This window comes from Homo sapiens, chromosome 6 (assembly GCF_000001405.40).
Source record: "Homo sapiens chromosome 6, GRCh38.p14 Primary Assembly".
Classification (NCBI taxonomy): Eukaryota; Metazoa; Chordata; class Mammalia; order Primates; family Hominidae; genus Homo; species Homo sapiens.
Window position 1 is genome coordinate 32,515,280 of NC_000006.12, and position 22,502 is coordinate 32,537,781.

General features: G+C 43.7%; 1 protein-coding gene across 2 annotated transcripts; it reads right to left on the bottom strand.

Annotated features, from left to right (window-relative positions):
• Positions 1-2,073: 2,073 nt before the first annotated feature.
• Positions 2,074-15,008, bottom strand: HLA-DRB5 (major histocompatibility complex, class II, DR beta 5). Of its 2 annotated transcripts, none has more exons than NM_002125.4 (6): positions 14,846-15,008; positions 6,626-6,895; positions 4,091-4,372; positions 3,277-3,387; positions 2,775-2,798; positions 2,074-2,473 (listed from the first exon to the last, which is right to left on the bottom strand). In NM_002125.4, exons 1-6 carry the CDS (start codon positions 14,943-14,945, stop codon positions 2,460-2,462), a joined length of 801 nt encoding a protein of 266 aa, NP_002116.2. In that variant the 5' UTR covers positions 14,946-15,008; the 3' UTR covers positions 2,074-2,459. The 2 variants fall into 2 exon arrangements, with proteins under 2 accessions (NP_002116.2, XP_011512864.1); XM_011514562.3 differs by having other exon boundaries at positions 2,143-2,559.
• Positions 15,009-22,502: the final 7,494 nt, after the last annotated feature.

Consider the following 22,502-nt stretch of genomic DNA (forward strand, 5'->3'; position numbering starts at 1 on the left):
TGAATTCTAAAAACAATCCTTTTTGCTTGCTTTTTGGTTTTATTGTAATTGAGTTAACGGCTGACATTTCATACTCTCTCTCTCTATATATATATTTCTATATATATATTCCATATATATTCTATATATATTCCATATATAGATATTCCATGTATATATTCCATATATATAGATATTCCATGTATATATATATTCCATATATAGATATTCCATGTATATATATATTCCATATATAGATATTCCACATATATATATATATATATATTCCGTGTGTGTGTGTGTATGTGTGTGTGTATATATATATATATCTATAAAACGACCCAAAACCCTGAATTGAGGATGCCTATCAGCAATCTATAGGCCTTAATGTGGAATTTAACTACAAATACTAACAACCCAATGGTACCACAGTCTATCATTTCCCTACCCTGAAATCAATCTCTCCTACTCTAGCCACCATTTCTTTACTTTTAAAAATGTATGATTTTGCTCCTTTTCTTCCCATGTGTGTCAGGCCCACTCTACAAATGTTGAATCCAGGCTTGTCTGAGCCCATGTGATCCCACGGTCATTCCAATGTGTGAGAAAGTGGGTACTGGGAACACTCTGGAAACAGTTTAGTTGCTCCTTATAAAGGCACACAGGAGAAAGGAGTATCCTTTTCCTACCTCTGGGAGTTGCTGTGAAAGAATAAGAAACCTAAAGCTGCTGCAGGGGTCCTCCGACCATCGCAGGAAAGCTGACGTGCTGTGTATTAAGAGAGATGAGCGATGAAGTTCAGGATCGCTGGAGGTGCCACTGGCCAGCTGAGTTGAGCAATCCTGGAGACAACCAGCATTGGATCTAACGGCTATGTGAGATCATGGGTTAAAAAAAAATAAAGCCTGCTAGATGGGATTTCCTGCTATTAGCAGCAGAAGGCATTTTCATTGGAATACTCATCTTGGCCGGGCGCGGTGGCTCAAGCCTGTAATCCCAGCATTTTGGGAGGCCAAGGCGGGTGGATCACCTGAGGTCAGGAATTCAAGACCAGCCTGGCCAAAATGGTGAAACCCCATCTCTACTAAAAATACAAAAATTAGCCAGGCTTGGTGGCAGGCGCCTGTAATCCCAGCTACTCGGGAGGCTGAGGCAGGAGAATCGCTTGAACCCGGGAGGTGGAGGTTGCAGTGAGCCGAGATGGCGCCACTGCACTCCAGCCTGGGGGACAAGAGTAAGACTTTGTCTCAAAAAAAAAAAAAAAAGAAAAGAAAAGAAATATTCATCCCACACATTTTCGTTCTTCTTTATAATTCCACACCACAAGTCTCATATAAAATGAGACAAATCATTTCCTCAACTTAGGGAAGAAAGCCTATTTTATTGCAACTCTGGAATCAAACAGATCAGACATAATTATCAGCTTATTATATTCCTATAGGATTTATATTCTTACAGGATTTCTATGTACTTGTACATACCTACTATATATGTACAAGTAACATGCAATATAGCTAAAAATAAAATATGCATAAACATTGAATTTGATTGAAAGTAAAATAATTGTCTCTGACAGTAGAGAAATTATGTTCAAATGATTATTACTTTGAAATAGGCTTCTGCATTGATTATGTACCGTTTAGATTTGACATATTTGATACTGACTCTCAAAACACAATGGAGAACCCTCCATTTTCTAAATTTGTCATTCTCTGAAATCTGTACAAGTCCTTGGATAATATTGTATTATTGAAGTTTCTGGAATGAAAAATTATATGCAATTTACAGTTATGGATACGCAGTATTTAGAATAGGTTAAGGAAGAGTTCTGATTGACTTGCTAGCTGGTTTCTCATCTCATGTTGGCCAAGTTGTTTCAGTTGTTATAATCTGTTCTCAATTTTTATGCATTGCCTTTTTAAATGTTAGGTTTACTTTTATTGACAAGTAAAAATTGTATAGTATATTTATGTTGTACAGCATGAAGTTCTGATATATGCCTATAGTGTGGAATGACTAAATCAAGCTATTTAATATGTGCATTACCTCACATACTTATGAAATACATATAAAAACCATTATGCTATTAGGAAATAATCTTCCCTTTTTCTTTTCTTTTTATTTTTTGTCTTTGGAGCCAGGTGGACAGATGATTTTTAACTCTGGGCTTCAGAAAAATTTAATAACGTAGTGCATTTGTGGCACACAGGGGGAGTACAGATGCATGGGAGGCCGTAGGGTTAGGTAAAGGGGAGCACTAAAGTTGAAGATGAGGCACTGCCATCAATGCTGGGACTTCAGGCCAAGGGCAGGAGCTGAGGAAGCCACAAGGATGGACATTTTCTGCAGAGTTGCTGAACCGGTAGCAACCAGGGCCTGAGAAAGTCCTCTCTTGTGGAAGAATAAGAGCCAAGCAGGAAAGCTTTTCATCATGCAAAGCTGGGGCAGAAGGTTCCCCCTTGAATGTGGTCATCTGCACTTCAGCTCACGAGTCCTGCAGAGAGAGAGGAAAGTGTTGTTTTCAGACCTGGTTCCACTAACAGCTTCTTTTCCTCTCTTTCAAGGACTCAGATGAGAGCACTGCAGGAAGAAGAAAAACAAGTTCCTAAGTCTCCCTGAACCAATACTCCTGCAGAGCACAGGCCTAAGTGGAGAGGAGGAGTTTTGGTATAAATTGCCTGATCAGGAATTTGGATCCAAAGTCTTTCCTGCTATTTCTGTCTCATGCCTTATCACCTCTGCCATCATTCTAGGAAAACTGAATCTGTTTCTAAAAGAGGATTAAAAGGTATTACCTGTTGGGTGAAGTCCAGAGTGCCCTGGGAAAAAGAGGAAAAGATATACACTTAAAAGGTATGGAAGCAAATCTATTCTCCCAACACAATGTCCTAGTCCCAGATCTCCCACCTGAGATTTCTCTAACACCACAACCCACACCAACCAGGGCAGAGAGGAGCAGAAACAGACCATGTGACCCATGAAGCATGACATGTCTGTCACAGGATCCAGTGTAATTGCATTAGCCTTAGTGGCTCTTCCTTAATTTGCTCCAGGATTTCAAACCAAAGGACCCTTAACTAGTTAACCTTTCTCTTATCTCTGCAGGCCACAAGCTATTATGCTTTTGACATAGTAACCATGCATTAATGATTTCTGGATTAGCAGGGCATTGGAGGTCATTTGTGGAAAGAAAGGCTTTATCCAGGGCCACTCATATACTGAGAACTAACCTCAGCAAAGCCCTATTTCCTCCTCTGGAAAAGTCTATGGAGAGAGCCGCTACCAAAGGCTCCTCACCTTTCTGATTCTTGAAGTAGATGAATAGCCCGGCCCCAAGGAAGAGCAGGCCCAGCACAAAGCCCCCGACTCCACTCAGCATCTTGCTCTGTGCAGATTCAGACTGTGCTCCTGGGAGAGGAAACCAGGTTTAGTGATTTTTATCCCAAATTGAACCTTTTTAATTGAGACCCTGCAATATTCATAGCTTTGAAAATGGGGAAGAAGGCTGCTCTGTAAGAACTAAAATAACTAGCCATTTCTGGAGAAAAAAAAGGTTTTCAAATCACACTGAACAGTTACAAGTTTCAGGGATCAAATTCATTCTAATATTACAGCCCTGATGTAAGGCACGGCTTCAACATCTGATAAACAGAAAGCCTGAGACTCAATGAGGTTAAATAGTTTGTCTAGAGTGACAGAGCTAATAAAAGGCAGAGCTGATATTGGACTCCCCTCATGTCAGGAAGGCCCCTACACTTCTCCTCTTCCCAGATCACAACAAATAACTCAGATCAACAGCACCAGAAACACAGTCTCAGACCCAGAGGCAGGGTCTGGAGCCCTGGGAGAGGGGGTGACCCTGACCTGTGACATCATGGGGAGGTTCAAAACAGGGACAGCCTCTCCTTCCTGCCAGGAATGACTGCTTCCCCAGAGGATACAGGTGTTTCTAGAAACTATACAGGGCTACCCCCAGTGACCTGTGCTAATGGAGATGAGAACATGGAGCAAATGAAAATAGGATGTGGGAGATGAGAAACCTGACACTCAGGGATTAGTAAAGTTTGCTTCTTGGTGGTTGAGAAATTTATGAAGTCAGAAAGCTGCTCACTCCATTCCACTGTGAGAGGGCTCGTCACGCTTGGGTGCTCCACTTGGCAGGTGTAAACCTCTCCACTTCGAGGAACTGTTTCCAGCATCACCAGGGTCTGGAAGGTCCAGTCTCCATTCTGAATCAGGCCTGTGGACACCACCCCAGCCTTCTCTTCCTGGCTGTTCCGGAACCACCTGACTTCAATGCTGCCTGGATAGAAACCATTCACAGAGCAGACCAGGAGGTTGTGGTGCTGCAGGGTCTGGGTCCTTGCAGGATACACAGTCACCTTAGGCTCAACTAGGAGAAAGGAAATGTAGAGGGAATGACTCAGGAAGACAGAGTGAATCTCCCTTTTTGGCTGTTTGTCTGCTTCTCTGTAAACCCAGGCTCTGGCCTTGACCAGGCCTCCAGCACAGCTGGCCATGAGGCCTCACAGTGTCATCAGCCTGGAATTTAGTCTTTATAGTGGGGGCTCATCAGATTTGAGAGATGTGAAAAATTGTGTTTGTTTCTTCATCACTTGAAATTGGGATGCATTGTCAAAGTGTTTACAAGTCTTTGAAAGTACAGAGTGTAGTAATTAAAACTGATACCTGAGCCAGGTTGCCTGGCTCAAATCCAAGGTCTGCCTTTTACTGGTTGATGCTGGAAGAGTTTTTCGATTCTTCTGTGTCTCAACTTTCTCACCCATAATAGAGGATAATTATAGTAATTTACCTCTTGGGGTTATATGAGGATTAATGCACATAAAATATATAAAACAATGACTGAAGATAGCCTTTAATTTATGAGGTCATAAAGCTTCTCACTCCATTCCACTGTGAGAGGGCTCATCACACTTGGGTGTTCCACTTGCCACCTATTTATCATCCTTGTACAGTTTGAGAGAAAAATATGATTTAAAGTAATGTGGATAGATAAAGGGACCGAGTAGGGTACAAAAGGAGACTGAGTATGAATGTTTAGGAATACTACTGCCATGCACTCACACCTTAGAACAACACAGAAATGGTTGTGCCCCTGGGAAGGTAGGACAGACAGAAATGGTTCTCCAATCTTTAAGTTCCCAGCAAAGCATGAGTCATAAAGCAGAGAGAAGGATTAAGGAAAGTTATTTTAGTTTTGAAAATTCTTACATTTACATTTAGCTGATCAATGCATCTCCCATGCAAACAAGCATAACTATTATTATACTATCATTGTAAAATAATTTTTCTTTCCAGAATGACATTTGGATCAAGGCAGGCAGGGTCTGGGACTCATTACTTGGGGTGCTTATGCCTAGGAAAATCCCTAACACTAGCAGACTCTCAATAAATACATTTTTTTTAAGAAGGAAGGAGAAACCTGGAGACAAAAATACCACAAAATGATAGATTTAAGATGGTTTGTAAACCATTAATAAAAGTTTTGGAATATATTTTATTAAACAGAAATGTTCAAATTCTTAACATAGAATTTTCAAAATCAACATACAAATCAAAAACTGGAGAAAATGTGGAATCAAATATCAATAAAGTGTTAATAATCTTACAGTACAAAGAACCCACAAAATCACTGAGAAAAATACTAAGCCCTGGAGATAACAGAAAATAGATCATTGTCCATTACCTACCAAATACAATAGGGAATTCTTAGAGCAGTAATTATAATTGGGCAATAAATAGGTCAAGATAATTCAAAAGAATTCCAAATAAAAAAATAAATTAAATAATAACCAGAAACATATATTTTCAACTTTTGGTGAATGTCATAATAAAGGTCAACAAAGGGGAAAGTGAGATAAGTTGTGTCACAACTATTATATATAAAAGAATAATAGGTAAGTAGTAGAAAACTATTAGCATTATAATAAAATAGTAACAGTGTATTAAAATTTTAATCAAAAAGTTAGTTTCACAGTCATTTCAACTATGTAAAAATATACACACTAAGAAAACAAACAGAAAAAATAGCAAGAAATTTAGACCTAAAGAAGCTTCAGAAGTGCCTCAGAGGTCTCCTCAATTCCCCTAGAAATTAATCTAATGCTTTTGCAAACAAACACCACACACTTTTATTTCAGAGACTGCGTGAAGGGTGGGTGCCAGGGACAGTCTGGAACTGGCCTCCTCATATTATCACAAATCTTCCACACCCCTCAGCTCTCCTCCCCTAAACCTTCACCCCAACCACACACACCTTACACTTTCCTTCCCTGCATCTCTAAGGACACGAGACAACCAAGGTCTCCTCTCTCTCCAGCCCCCTGCACCCACCTCCCATGTCACCTCCCCACAGAGGCCTCCAAGGATAAGAAGAAGCCCCCTCCTGCTTCCCCTCCCACAAAGGCCACAAAGACAAATCCACACTCTACACACACACCTGTGTCCTCAGAAGTCCTTGCTCAAGATTGAGAGGATTCTAAATGCTCACAGATGGCGCGCTCCCTCTCTGTCTCTCTCTTCCTCTCTCTCTCACACACACACACACACACACACACACACACACACACACACACTCAGATTCCCAGCTCACAAGGACCCAGGCCCCGCCCCCCACCATGCTCACCTCGCCGCTGCACTGTGAAGCTCTCACCAACCCCGTAGTTGTGTCTGCAGTAGGTGTCCACCGCGGCGCGCCTGTCTTCCAGGAAGTCCTTCTGGCTGTTCCAGTACTCAGCGTCAGGCCGCCCCAGCTCCGTCACCGCCCGGTACTCCCCCACGTCGCTGTCGAAGCGCAAGTCCTCCTCTTGGTTATAGATGTCTCTGTGCAGGAACCGCACCCGCTCCGTCCCGTTGAAGAAATGACACTCATACTTATCCTGCTGCAAGAAACGTGCTGTGGGGACACGAAGGATCCGGTCACAGGGGCGGCCTCCGGGGAAGATACTGACAGAGACGCCGCCATCCGGGGCTCCCTGGGCGGGGTGCGGGCACTGGAACCTTAACTGATCCCAACCATAACCCCGACCACGCGCAGCCCAGAGGCTCATCCTCCGTCTTCCTGAGGCGAACGGGGTGTCTGGGGGACCAGGCAGGAAAACCCCTTCTGATCCCAAGGCTTTTGGGACCCCCTCCCCGCCTCCAGCCTATTCTGGAGACCTCCAAGCAGGAGCTGGAGGAGGATCCGCCCAGCACCGGAGCCCGCGCCGCCTCCTCCTGGGAGCCTGCACCCCAAAGACAATCTCTGCTCCTTCTCTCATCCCACAGGCTTTACCCGTTCCCTAACTCCCACCGCGTTCATCCTGTGAACACTCCTTTAGTGATGACCTTGTGCCAGGCTTGCACTGCCTCTGGGAATCCAAACACGGGAAAACAGACCTCTCCACTCCGCTGGGGGAGCTTAAAGAGCAGTAAAAGTGAGGCCAAAAACCAAACACACAAGAGCTTAGACAGGAATGAGAAATGTCTGAAGTGTGGAGTTCCAGAACACAGAGTAATAGGATGATCTCAATTACATTAGGGTGCCAGAGGAGGACCTTCTGAAGGGTGACAGTTCAGATGTGACTTGGCAGGTTAAGCAGGTGTGAACCAGGGGGCGGAGTGGAGACTCTGTGTCTGTTTGGGCAAAACGGGGGAAGCACATTTCAGGTTTAGGAAATACCATGCACAAAAGCTTGAATTGATGAACTTCTTCAAGAAACTAGAACAAAGTTCACTAAAGCAGAGAGGCTGAGGGGAAGGAGGGTAAAAGATTAGACTGGAGACATCACAAGAAGCCAGGTATTGAAAAGCGTTGTGGGTGGTGTTAGGATCTGAGATTTATGCTAAAGACAGTGGGAAAGTATCAAAGAGATTTAAGGAGAATAAAACCATGATCCCATGAATGTCCACAAACCTTCCTTTGCATTTCTAAATCCACAAAGCTCAGATATTCAGTTAAAAGAAATTTGTTCATAAAACTTATTTGGCAAATTTCACCTGATAAGAGTAAGGGGTCAAAAGTGTCTCAGAGCTCTTATTGGTGACATGAGCTTCTGTAGTTTCAATACATGTAAACATACATACATATATGTGTGTAAATATACACATATGTAAAATACTATATATTTTAGATGTTTTTGTCTTTATGTTTGATTGAAGTGTAAAAATGACAAAAATAACTGAAAAATAATCCTCTGGTTAAAAGTGAAATGAATAAATAAAAGCATTTTACATTATGAATCATACCAAATGTAGAATCACTACAGAAATCTCAGGCATGTTAGTGAAAAATAATTGCAGAGCATCACTATTTGTGACTTATAAGGGCAAGTTGTTGAAAGTTAATAGAGGTAGTGCTGACCAACAACTCATGAAAATGTTGAAAAATATTGCATAAGGCAAAAACTAACTATGAAGCTATTAAACTTGCATTGACTAAATGGATTCAACAAGAAAGTGGTTGAATTTATGCAACTGTCTACTTTTGCATAATGAAGCAAGCAAAAATAAACCATAAAGAACTGAATTGGGTGCTGAGTGTATAAAAGATGTGAGTCTAGAATTTTCAGAAAGAGCACAGTGTGAAACAGTGCTCTCAGCCTCAGCACTATTGACATTTTGGTCCAGATAATTCTTTGTTGGTAAAGGAGGCTGTTCTGAACATTGTAGGTTCTCTAGCAGTGTCCCTGGCTTCTACTCATTAAATATCAGAAGAAACCCCTGTGGTGACAACCAAAAATTGCTCAAACATTGCCACAAGTTCCCCAAGGGTGATGGGAGGGAAAGGAGCGGTGGTGAACGATCCCTGGGTAAGAACCACAGGTGTGAACCATCTGAAAAAACCTGTGTTGAACAAGCCACTAGTGGTTATGGAGCAGCTGAGAATTGTATTGAAAAATATCTGTGAATATCTTGGTCCTACATAAAACGAATGCTTTATAGAATTCTGGTCCCAATACAGTGCTATCTTTCCAGAAAATGAACTTGTTGAGAACTAAGATTTACTGATTTCCTTGCATTACCAACCAGTCACCAAATCATATCATTTGTCTTTCATATCATCTTCTTTCTTAATTTCTCTGCCACTTGTCCACTAATTATCTGTAGTAGTGAATCACAACCACAGCTATTTTATTCCCATTTAATGCCCCAACTAACTCACGTCTTTCAGTCTCCCACTCCCAACAATACTAGCAGGCATCAAATTACCAGCCTTGGCCAGAGATAGAACTCTTGGTTTTGTAGTCAAGTCCCCTCAGAAAGTCAGAAACCAAGAAAATGACGTTCTCATACAGACAGTTTACAAAACATGAGCAGGTCCCCAGACTTTGTGTAGAGACCTTCACAAAGCTCCGTTTGCCCTTTAGAAATGATGGCAGAGAGGTGTGCACCCTGGATCAAACAATGTCTATCTTTCTATTCCTAAATTATGTAAGCACTTTCTTTACAGACAGAATGTTAAAAAATAAACATTTGTAAAGTCACTGTCACTGTGGCTTGCATGGCTAGCACTGTAATCCATGCTCATGTGTCCCACTTAGGGTTGACAGATTTGACAAATAAAACCAGAGGATGCCCAGGTAAATCTGGATTTCCAATAAATTGTGGTCGTGTGTCTGAAATTCAGATTTAACTAGGAACCTGTTTGTTATCTGACAACCCTAGCCAGACTTGCTAGTCAAACCTCAGAAGAAGGAATGATTTAATACTTCTTTATGTTCTTCAACACATGCCTATGATAGACTTATAGAACTTTTAAAATGATAAATGCAAAATGAATGAAAGTTTCTTTTATACATTGGAACTAGAAGCCCTTGCATCTCTGCCCCCACTCTAAGAAACAACCTGGTACATATGAATATTAGAAATTTTGTCAATAATTCAGACACAATCAAGTCACTACTCACTAATGATGGAAAAACTCTCATATTCTAGAATCAGAAAATATGAATTGAAATATGACCTCTTTTAAATGGGTCACTTTTTGCCAACCATAAGCCTATTTGTAATCTATCAAATGCATTTTATAATAATCCTCACAGGATTTTTGTAAGTGTGAAATTTAATAAAGAGTCTTCTTAGCAGTGATCACATAATAAACACTCAAATGTATTCCCATTTTAATTTTTTGATCCCTATAACTGGAGCTCACATTATTTTTTCTATTACATGATTCTAAAGCAATTAGTATCTTCATCATGATTTTGCAATTGTCTTCTGTTCTTCTATTAGTTTCATAAAGAATTGTCATTCTGAAAACAGAGGGCAGAAACACTGGTTTATGTCTAATAATGCAGTATACCTAAACCTCACACAAAAGGCACCTGCTGACATAGAAGAAATGGACTTTCTACATGCTCAGATTTAAACTGCAATCTGATTTCTAGCACCAAATTTGTGATACTGGGTTTTACTTATAACCTTTCAATTTTAGATTCCAGAGATGTACATGTTTTTATATACCACAGATACAGCAGGATCATTATTGAAATTGCATACTGAAATTCATAGGCCTGGTACACAGTCACTGCAAAATGTTACATGGCATATACTGATGGAGACCAGATTCATTTTATTCATCACTCCATTCTCATGACCTAGAGTAGTAACTGGTATATTCTAAGTCACTAATAAATATGGGCTGTGTGAAATACTGGCTGTGTGACCTCTTCATGAGCAGTCACCACTGCACACAGGGGCCCTCTAATATTTCCTTGATAATAATGACCGAGCATCTCTGGTTCACAGGTCCTCCTGCTTCTCTTCAGCCTCTTTAGCCTTTTCCTTTTGATCCAGCTGGCTCCCTGAACCCAGAGCACAGTCCTTCCCTGAAGCTCGCTACTCAAAACAGTCAACCTTAACCTTGTCCTCTCTTCTACTCGCTCTTCAAATGGTCCAATCCAGTTTCCTCCCTGGATACTCTACTGACTGCAAATATCAGCTCCACCAATCCCAGCCGTTGCTTCTCTGTCACATTCTCACTTCACCCTCCTCTTAGTGGTACTCACCACAATTGGCCTCTCCCTTCTCCTTGAAAAAAAAAAATCTATTTTTCTTGACTTACACATATGATGTAATCTTGGTTTTTTCCCAACATCCCTGGGCTCTTTCTTAGTCCCCTTTGCTGGCCTGTGCCCTTTTCTTTTTTCTCCAGACAATCTCCCTATGTAACCTCTTCCACTCCCTGGAATTTAACACAGTACACCTATTGATGCCACCAACATAAATACCTCCAGCCCTGGCCTCACCATGAGTCTCTTTTTTTTTTTTTTTTTTTTGAGACGGAGTCTTGCTCTGTCACCCAGCCTGGAGTGAAGTGGTGTGATCTCAGCTCACTGCAAGCTCCACCTCCCTGGTTCACGCCATTCTCGTGCTTCAGCCTCCCAAGTAGCTGGGACTACAGGCACCCACCACCATGCCCAGCTAATTTTTTGTATTTTTAGTAGAGACGGGGTTTCACCGTGTTAGCCAGGAAGGTCTTGATCTCCTGACCTGGTGATCCGCCTGTCTAGGCCTCCCAAAGTGCTGGGATTACAGGCATGAGTCACTGCGCCTGGCCCACCATGAGTCTTTTAAATGCCATTGACCTTCTGATTGCTCCACACAAATGTCAATAAATCATCTCAAACTTAAACAAAACTTTTATTTCCAACCACCCACTTCAAATCATTTCCTCCCACAGTTTTCCCTATCTCAATAAACACCACCACCTTTCACTAATTTGTCAAAACAAAATCCTTAGGAATAAGCTTGATATTTCTACCCCCTTTACAGTAATCCATTAACAAGGTAAGCAAAATCCACTTTATCTTTTTCACTGTCTTTATCACTAGTGAACTCAAGCCTATTTTCCCTGAGGATTCCCTGCTGTGCTCCTAAATAGTCTTCCTAACCACTTGTCAACCCCAACAATCCAATCCCCACAGAGTAGCTAGAATTAGTTTTAAAAATTCAATATAGGCCGGGCACGGTGGCTCACGCCTGTAATCCCAGCACACTGGGAGGCTGAGGCAGGTGGATCACGAGGTCAAGAGATCAAGACCATCCTGGCCAACATGGTGAAACCCTGTCTTTACTAAAAATACCAAAATTAGCTGGGCGTGGTGGTGCACTCCTGTAATCCCAGCTACTTGGGAGGCTGAGGCAGGAGAATCTCTTGAACCCAGAAGGCAGAGGCTGCAGTGAGCCGAGATAGTGCCACTGCACTCCAGCCTGGTGACAGAGCAAGACTATATCTCAAAAAAAAAAAAAATTAAAAAATTAAAAAAAAAGAATATAAATTGACTTTCCTTGTAACCATCCAGTAGCTTCCCATATCTATTTAAATAAAATTCAGGCCATGCGCAGTGGCTCACGCCTGTAATCCCAGCACTTTGGGAGTCTCAGGCGGGCAGATTACTTGAGGTCAGGAGTTGAAGACCAGCCTGGCCAACATGGTGAAAGTCTGTCTCTAGTAAAAACACAGAAAAAATAGCTGAGCATGGTGGCAGGTACCTGTAATCCCAGCTACTTGGGAGACTGAGGCAAGAGAATCACTTGAACCCGGGAGGCAGAGGTTGCAGTGAGCTGAGACCATGCCATTGCACTCCAGCCTGGGCAACAAGAATGAAACTCCCTCTCAAAAATAAATAAGATAAATAAATAAATTAATAAAATAAAATAAAATTCAAGTTTCTTACCATGGACATCAGAGCCTGATATGAGGCTCCCGACTTCCTCTCTGCATCCTACCTCATCTTCTGCCACTGCATTTCCTTGCTTGCTCACTTCAGTCCCTCTAGCCTTCTTTCTGTCCCTGCACATAATTTCCCACACCAGGGCTTCCCCCCCAATTCGGTCTCCCTGGAACTTTCGTCCCTTAGATCTTCACGACTGTCTACTTATTTTGTTTTCTCAGCTGGATGTCACTTTCTCAAGTAGGGCTCTCTAGACATATGAACTAAAGTAGGTGAATCCATTTCTCTCTTTTCCACAAACCTGATGTCTTTTCTTCAGTGCACTATGACTCTCTGAAATTTTCTTCTTTGTTAAATGCTTATTGGGTTAGTGTCTGTCTCCTCCACTCTTGTGTAACCTTGAGAGTCGGGACCCTCTCTATCTTACTCAAATAGAATGATTTGAACCTAGAAGGGAGCCCAGTACAGAGTAGCTGCTGATAAAAATAACTGTGGTTTATATTAATAAACCATGGTTCTGGGAACTGATCACTGCAAGGATCCTGGAAAGCAAGAAGGGGCTCGAGCTCCAGCACTCTTTCAATTTGATGTCACACTAGAATCCTTCTCCTCCCGGTGAGAAATACAGGCAAATTTCTTCTTTCTCCTCCTTCTAATTGGAAGAAGAATTCACAGATAAAGAAACAGTGATTTAAGAAAAAAGAAATTTTTCATTGAGATTCATTGCCTGGGCAATGAATTCACCGTGCCTGGGTGCGGTGGCTTACACCTACAATCCTAGCATGCTGGGAGGCCAAGGCAGGAGGATTGTTTGAGTCCAGGAGTTTAAGACCACCCTGGGCAACATGGCAGAAATCTCATCTCCAACAAAATTAGTTGGGCTTGTAGTCTCCGCTGCTCTGGAGGCTGAGGAGGAAGGATAGCTTGAGTCTTGGAGGCAGAGGTTGCAGTGAGCCTAGATCGGACCACTGCATTACAGCCTGGGTGACAGAGCCAGGCCCTATCTCAAAAAGAAAAAAATTATCTCTTTCAATGGATCTCATAGTGCTAAGGATCTGTGCAAGCTTTAGGGATTTCTGGATATGATGACAACATAGCTGGGGAAAAATAGAGAGAAACTGGAGGAAGAGGTAAGCAGACATGGCTAATTAAGGAAAGCTGAGGGCATGACGGGTGAACCTATGAAATTTAGGACAAGACCCCAGTAAGACAATGAGTTCCCAGGACTTGATCATTAACTTTCAGCCCTATGAGATGTGAACAATGTCCACATTCTCTCTGTAACCCCACACAGAGTATATAGTTTTAACCTTATCAAATTTCTGATATTTGACTATTTTTGACTTACAAAAATAGAATTTCATATAATTTGTCCTATGTTAGTTGAATCTCTTCCTGTCATGTCTAGTTAGAGCATGTAGGAGATATAGGAGCAAATAGTATAGAAAGGTTAAAAAAGATTTGTAATAAACTCTAACCTGGGCCAGGTTTTTAGAGGATGCCTTAAGTCCTTTAGGCACCAAAGAATACCTCATAGATGCCCTTTAACTGTAGGGTGACTCCACATACTAAAGATCTCAGCTTCAGCTCCAAGGATTTTTCCCCATAAGAAAAAGCACTAAGCATAACTTCTGTCAGAGACCTTGCATACATTACAGGGTAAACATTGGAGTTCAGAAAGAAAAGAAAGGAGGTAATGGGGAGGCCACTGGGTCCATTCTCACATATGAGGAAGAGGAGCCAATATCACAGGTTCTGTCAAGGGCATAACACAGGATTGTCTAGGAGAGACCCTTTGAATTCCCTTGACTCCCACAAAATTTTCAGAAAAAAACTCGTTTTGTCTGACATAGGTCAACATAATAAAGGGAAGTGCTGTATGGGGAATTTATTTTAGCATCCTTATTTCTAAATCCTCTAAAGACCCTGAGGACATGTGATGAAAAGGTTTCATTGGTGGAGATTTGAGAAGAAATGACCTGTATGGAGGCCCCTTACACAGTCTCATGGAGAGGGCAAGTAGTCAAGCTCCTTTTGTGGAGGAAATAATTTGGGATCCCATGATAAAGATGGGCAATCTCTGAAGAAAATGTCACAATTTCTTAAGGCACCTGGCCTGGGCACAATGTTAACAAAACTCCCTATTTTCCCCACCCCATAGTAGCTCAGCACCCACAATGTGCACTTACGTCGGGTGTCCCCAGCCAAAGCCAGTGGGGAGCTCAGCACCATCAGTGTCACTGTCAGCTTTGCCATGTAGGAACCTCCAGGGAGCTTCAGACACACCATGCTGGAGAACAGGACAGGACCAGGGGCCAGAGGAGCAGGCAAGTCTCACTCAGGGAGAACTATGATCCCCCTCCACCCACATTCCAAATTATGGGGAGGAAGTTACTGATTTCCTTCCTCCTGGTTTGGGTACTCTCGTGTTGGAGAACCAATCAGCATCTGAGTTCAATAGTATCATCAGTTGCTGGTCAGAGATGCTGTATGAAGGTCCTCTTCTGAAACAGAATTTCCTTATTTAAAGGATTGTTTTAAATTAGTACTTGAAAGATTTGATCCAGTTGCACGTAAAACACTTTAACTGGGTCCCTATCGTGAGCCAGCTCTGTGCTGGTCAGTGATGTGTTCACAAGTTTGAGCCTTGTAAGAGCATTCATTTCCCACTTGACAAGACAATTGTTTGCAGAAGTGAGTGTGTGAGTGTGTTTAGGAGTAAAGGAGATGGAGGGAACATGGTTGTAAATTGGAGACCTTTAATCTGGTCCTTATTGCACCGTATCTTAATGTTGTAGATTTGGGAAAATTATTTCATGTCTCACAGTTGAAATGAAGGCACTGCAATCTTTCAGGTCTTTCAATACTGGACAATGCTGTGATTCTGTGGACGCCTGAAGGAGCAGCAGCCCCGGGTATCTGATAATATGACAGAATGACAGCTATTGACTAGAGAGCTTAATCCGTACCTATTTACAGGTAGGGATGTCTTTAATAAGTTAAAGGAAATTGAAAGTTTGTTAATAATTTAATCTGAGTAAAAATATCTTTTTCAAGTGTGTCTCCTGATGCTGTCCCCAAGTTCAGTGGCACCTCCAGAACACACACAGGCAAGGGGCTTGCAGGGGCCACCTATGTGCAATGGAGGGTCTGAAGGTGCCTTTGTATGGCATTTACCCTAACAATGTGATAAGGTCAACTGTGCAGTCCAAGTATTCGTGGGTCTGAGAGATCGATCGAAGACTGTGAAAGTCAGCTGTTCACAGAGCAACTATCTTTTCTTTTTTTTTGAGGCGGAGTCTTGCTCTGTTACCCAGGCTAGAGTGCAGTGGTGCGATCTTGGCTCACTGCAACCTCCGCCTCCTCAGTTCAAATGATTCTCCTGCCTCAGCCTCCTGAGTAACTCTGACGACAGACATGTGCCACCACGCTCGGCTAATTCTTTGTATTTTTAGTGGAGATGGGGTTTCACCGTGTTAGCCAGGATGGTCTCGATCTCCTAACCTCGTGTTCTGCCTGCCTTGGCCTCCCCAACTGCTGGGGCTACAGGCATGAGCCATCGTGCCTGGCCACAATTCTGTTTTAAAATAATTAATACCCTCCCCCTCCCCCTCCCCCTCTCCCTCTCCCTCTTTGCACGGTCTCCCTCTGATGCCGAGCCAAGGCTGGACTGTACTGCAGCCATCTCGGCTCACTGCAACCTCCCTGCCTGATTCTCCTGCCTCAGCCTGCCGAGTGCCTGGGATTGCAGGCGCGCACCGCCACACCTGACTGGTTTTCGCATTTTTTGGTGGAGACGGGGTTTTGCCGTGTTGGCCGGGCTGGACTCCAGCTCCTGACCGCCAGTGATCTGCCAGCCTCGGCCTCCCGAGGTGCCGGGATTGCAGACGGAGTCTCGCTCACTCAGTGCTCAATGTTGCCCAGGCTGGAGTGCAGTGGTGTGATCTCAGCTCGCTACAACCTCCACCTCCCAGCCGCCTGCCTTGGCCTCCCAAAGTGCCGAGATTGCAGCCTCTGCCCGGCCGCCACCCCATCTAGGAAGTGAGGAGCATCTCTGCCTGGCCACCCATCGTCTGGGATGTGAGGAGCCCCTCTGCCCGGCCGCCCAGTCTGGGAAGTGAGGAGAGCCTCTTCCCGGCCGTCATCCCGTCTAAGAAGTGAGGAGCGTCTCTGCCCTGCTGCCCATCGTCTGAGATGTGGGGAGCACCTCTGCCCCGCCGCCCCGTCTGAGATGTGAAGAGCGCCTCTGCCCGGCCGTGACCCCGTCTGGGAACTGAGGAGTGTCTCTGCCCCGCTGCCACCCCGTCTGGGATGTGAGGAGCCCCTCTGCCCCGGCCGCCCAGTCTGAGAAGTGAGGAACCCCTCCGCCCAGCAGCCACCCCATTTGGGAAGTGAGGAGCCCCTCCGCCCTGCAGCCGCCCCGTCTGGGAAGTGAGGAGCGTCTCCGCCCGGCAGCCGCCCCGTCTGGGAGGTGGGGGGCGCCTCTGCCCGGCTACCCCGTCTTGGAAGTGAGGAGCCCCTCTGCCCGGCTGCCACCCCTTCTGGGAGGTGTACCCAACAGCTCATTGAGAACGGGCCATGATGACAATGGCGGTTTTGTTTAATAGAAAAGAGGGAAATGTGGGGAAAAGAAAGAGGATCAGATTGTTATTGTGTCTGTGTAGAAAGAAGTAGACATAGGAGACTCCATTTTGTTCTGTACTAGGAAAAATTCTTCTGCCTTGGGATGCTGTTAATCTATAACCTTACTCCCAACCCCGTGCTCTCTGAAACATGTGCTGTGTCCACTAAGGGTTAAATGGATTAAGGGCGGTGCAAGATGTGCTTTGTTAAACAGATGCTTGAAGGCAGCATGCTTGTTAAGAGTCATCACCACTCCCTAATCTCAAGTACCCAGGGACACAAACACTGCCAAAGGCGGCAGGGCCCTCTGCCTCGAAAAGCCAGAGACCTTTGTTCACATGTTTATCTGCTGACCTTCCCTCCACTATTGTTCTATGACCCTGCCAAATCCCCCTCTCCGAGAAACACCCAAGAATGATCAATAAATACTTTAAAAAATAATAATAATAATAAATAAAAAATATTAATAATTAATATTTTATGTGAAGAGTGTTCAATCCCTCATTCTTGGTTCCCATTATGATTTTCTCATTTGATTGAGGCTATAGCACTTTACTATTATGTTTCTCTTGTTTTATCATAAGGGAAGATATAAGACGACTTTGATAACTAATACATTTTAGAATGTTCAGGAAAGAGAACACTAGGGAAAACTATGAATTACATCAGTTGATGTAACTATATAATATTGAACATTATTATACATTTAGATAATTATTATGCTTTTTATTAATATAAATGTAACATCTAAGATTCAGAATGGACTTCAAAGTACAACTATACTTAGAACGCTCTGCATTAATTCACACGCTACCACATAGGCAATCCTTCCTCATGGGCCTTAGTGTTTCCAGGGGCAGCATTCTCACCATGCTACCATAAAAATGAGCATTTTACTTTATACTCAGAATTGTACTAAGCGCTTTTTATACTTCATATTTTTATTTCATTCTCACATCAGCTCGGTAAAATAAACACCCTTTTCATGCTTACAGGTAGAGAGAATAAAACGATGGAGATGAAACAACTTTTGCAAAGATACAAAGCTAGTAAATGGCATACTATAGATTGAACCAAATTACATGCCCCTCAGGCTCAGCCACTATATCATAATCCTTCTCATTCTATTTCTGAGAATAATGTCCTGTGTATTAAAATTATTTATATTCCTATAATTTATGGATGCGCATAGCAATATCGCTACTCATGTTAGTGAATGGCAGCAGTATACAATTTGAAGAAGATACTGTGTAGCAATTCTAGTTCCTTCAAAAGAATCCCCTCATTATCATCCTTACCCTCCCCTGGAAATGACAGCATTTGCATTTATCTTATGTGATGACACCCATAGCTCCTGAGAAGTCTCCTTCTTATTAAAGGTAACAGTGACCTCAAAATTCTTAAATATAAACTATTGCTCAGAATTATTATTTCAGATTTCTCATGATAAAGTAGTAAATTTGATCATCTCAAAATAGAAGAAAAAAAGTGCCTCACTTACTTTGGGAAAACATACTTCTATTAATATAGAAAGTTCAAAATTTCATGGGTAAAAGTCACTATTGTCCCTGGATTTGAGAATAAACTATGTCTCTATACCCCAATAATAATTCAATACTATTGGAAGTTGTGAAATTGCAACCAGAATATCACATTTAATTTGGTCAACAGAAAATAATAATTTACTTAGAAACTAATTTAGTCCCAGCTACTCAGGAGGTGGGTGGATTGCTTGAACCTGGAAGGTCCACGCTGCAGTGACGCAAGATCATGCCACTGCATTCCAGCCTGGGTGACAGAGGGACACCCTGAAAAAATAAAAAGAAAAAGAAAAAAAAGAAACAAAAAAAAGAAAAGAAGGAACAAACTGTGTAAAAAAGAAACTAATTGAGATGATGGTAATCTAGGAAATCCAGCTAAGGTTCAGCTTAGTATTTGAGGTTAAAAGGGTGGTGATGCCGGCAGTGGCGAGCTGTCCAGAGTGGCCGGCTGCAGCGGGAAATTGCAAGCGGTGGTGGCAGGAACGACTGCGGGAACCGTGGCCATGGTGGGACCCCGGTGCCCCATGTCCCGTGTGCCTCGCGCCCCTGAGGCAGCCAACTGCGCTGCCCAAACCCTTCAGCAGCCGGAGGGACCGCCCCCAGGCCAGGAGCCTCCACGACTCCTGCTTTACTGCTATCACCCTGTAGCTGTGGGGAGGGCATGGAGCTAGGGCCAGGCTTGTTGGGCCCGGTTTGGGAAGTGGGAGTGGCCTTGCTTTGGGGACCCAGCCAGCGGCATGATCACTGTCCCACCATGCTGAGGAAGCCCAGTTCCTGCACCTCAGGAGGAGGTTCTGCCTGAGGCTGCCCAGGGTTGTGTCCCCAGGGTGGCCACGAAGCCTGATTTTCCCGACGGCCAGGCTTGGGCGTGATCTGCTCCCCACGGTGCCTCCCCCATCCCATCCAGGCAAGAGGGAGCCCCAGGCACCCCTGAGTGGTAGGGGAAGAACTTGCAGACACATCATCCTTGCCCCAGATGCTGGCATGGGCACAGGCGAGGGGGAGCTGCCCACCCCAGGCTATGTGAAGGTGGGACAGGGGCTACCTGCAGACTCCAAGGATTGAGTGGGAGTCCTGCCCTCTACGCAGCAGGATCCAGGCCTCTCTGCACTCCATGCTTTCAAGGACGTGAAGAACCCCCTGCCCCTGCAGGCTTCCAGGTATCTGCTCCCAGTGCCTGGCTTCTCACCTGGCCTCTCCAGGCCCCGGGTGCCCGCTTTGATCTCAGAGTGGAGTTTGGGGCCAAGCCCCGGTGCTGTTACAGCCTAGCCGGGTGTATGCATGCTCAGGGCAACATTGACACACCAGCCTCCTGCCACCTCAGCCACGGGGAAGCCGAGGGAAGATGGGCTGAGGGCAACTGGTGCTGGCCTACAGGCCCCTTGCCATGAGCAGCCTAGGTGCCATGGACGGGGTTGGGAGGCAGACAGTCTCCTGGGCAGAAGGGGGCAGGTCCCTGGTGAAGCCCCTCCTTCAGGCCAGGGAGGGATTGAAGGCTGTGGGTTGGGCTGCCAATCCTGCGGACAGGAGTGGGAACTTGTGCCTTTTCTGGGCCTGCCCCATGGCCATCCATTCCTCCCCTCTGAGGCCTGTAAAAGCCCTGGGCTCAGGCGGACTTGAGAAGAGGATGGAGAGAGCATAGAGACAGGACAGGGACATGAGGGATGAGTTGCTGAGGAGAGGAGTTAACCTCCCCAGCGTCTCCTCTCAGCTGCAGAGTGAAGCTGCCCTCACCAAGGTCTCCTCTCTGCTGAGAACTGAGGAAAGGACAGGACAATCAGCTGCAGAGAGGAGCTACCCTCTCTGTTGATAACTGAACAGGTGTTGGGGCAACCTGGCTATGGAGAGGAGCTGCCCACTGCAGCTCTCTGAGCTGTTCTATTGCTTAATAAAGGTCCTCTTTGTCCTGCTAACCCTCTACTTGTCTGCATACCTCATTCTTCCTGGATGCAGGACAAGAACTGGGGATCTGCCTAATGATGAGGCTAAAAAAGCTGTTACACGAACAGGGTGTAGATGAGCAACAGAGAATGTAGTCAAATGCAGACAAAGACGGAATGAAAAAGCAAAAATAAATCCATATCATTCCATGTAACAAGACCATTTTTTAAAAGTAGTTTTAAGTGGACAGAAAAATTACAGAGAAAGTTCATAGAGTTCCCACAGCCCTTCTTCCCTAAAGCATCCCTCTGCTCAGTTTCTCCTATTATTAACATCCTGCATCAGTGTGGTACACTTGTTACTACTGATGAAGCAGTACTGATACTTGTTGTTAACTGAGATCCATAGTGAAATTAGGGATAATTCTTATACAGTTCTATGGGTTCTGATAAATACATAATGTCATATATCCACCATTTAGTGGAACTGACCCAAGAGTCCCATAGGCAGTTTTTTTTTTTTTTAAATAAACATAGAAATGGACACTTCTGGTCTTAAAGCTTGAAACTTACATTTGTTTTATCTGAGTTCCTTTCCAAAAAAAGATTCCCCCATGCCTCTCAAAAAGTATCAAAGAGCTGGAACTCACCAGATCATCTCATCCAGACAATGAGACTCCAAGTTCCTCATTCATCGTGATTGTTCCCTTACCCCTCTCTAGTTCCTGTTTTCCCATACATAGTTACATTTCTTCCATGCTAGATAAACTCCTAATTTTAGTCAGTCACAGAGATGGATTTGACACTGGTCTCCTATCTCCTCAGCTTTAGCACCTGATTAAAGATTAAAGCCTTCTTCTTTGGCAATACTCATTGTCATCTCAGTGATTGGCTTTCTGTGTGGTGAGCAGCAAGATCCAGACCAAAGCCCTTGTGTGCAAGATCTAGACTGTACCCCTGGTGTTTCAGTGACAAAATTATCCTATGAAGTAGTTTCGCTGACCTAAAATTGTCCCAGGCTCCACCTACTCATGCACTCCTCTTTCTCCTGAACCCCTGGAAACCACTATTTACTGTCACTGTATTTATGCCTTTTCCAGAATGTTATACAGTTGTAATCATATGGTATATAGTTTTTCAGACTGGCTTTTTTCACATAACAATATGCATATAGGTTTTCTCCTGTCTTTTCCTAGCTGGATAGCTTACTTCTCTTTAATGTTGAATAACAACCCATGGTATGGATGTACCACAATTTGTTTATCCACTCACTTACTGGAGGACATTTTCGTTGCTTTGAATTTTTGGCAATTATAAATAAAGCTGCTATAAACATTCGTGTACACTTGTGTGGACAGAAGTTTTCCACGTATTTGGGCAAATACTTAGGATTGCAATTGCTGAATCTTATGGTAGAGTATGTTTCGCTTTGTAAGAAACAGCCAGAGTGTCTTCCAGATAAGCCAGGAGAATAGGGTCTGGAGGCAGGGAACCTAAGGCCGTTTCATGTTGACTTCCGAATGGAACTAAATTGAAAGGAAAACTCAAACTTTCTATGCCTAATTAGCAAAAGTTCCAGAGACTACTCCCTTTGTAACACCCCCCCTTTACTGCGTGACAAATGGGAAACTGAAAGTGCCTCTGATTGGTTGTTTTCAACTAATCAGATGTTTGCACAGGAGTGTAACTTTGTAACTTCATTTCGGCCTTGGATTGGTTGCGGAATTGTTTTCCTCAAAATTTCTACAGCCCAGTGATAAAAATCCTAGAAAAGCAAAATAAGCACAAACCAAGATGGCATA

Coding starts and splice junctions, on each gene's coding strand:
- HLA-DRB5 (XM_011514562.3), bottom strand. CDS start 14,945: ATGGTGTGTCTGAAGCTCCCTGGAGGTTCCTACATGGCAAAGCTGACA. Junction 6,896..14,845: donor TTTGGCTGGGGACACCCGAC/GTAAGTGCACAT, acceptor GTGTCCCCACAG/CACGTTTCTTGCAGCAGGAT. Junction 2,560..2,774: donor CTCTGGACTTCACCCAACAG/GTAATACCTTTT, acceptor TTCTTCCTGCAG/TGCTCTCATCTGAGTCCTTG.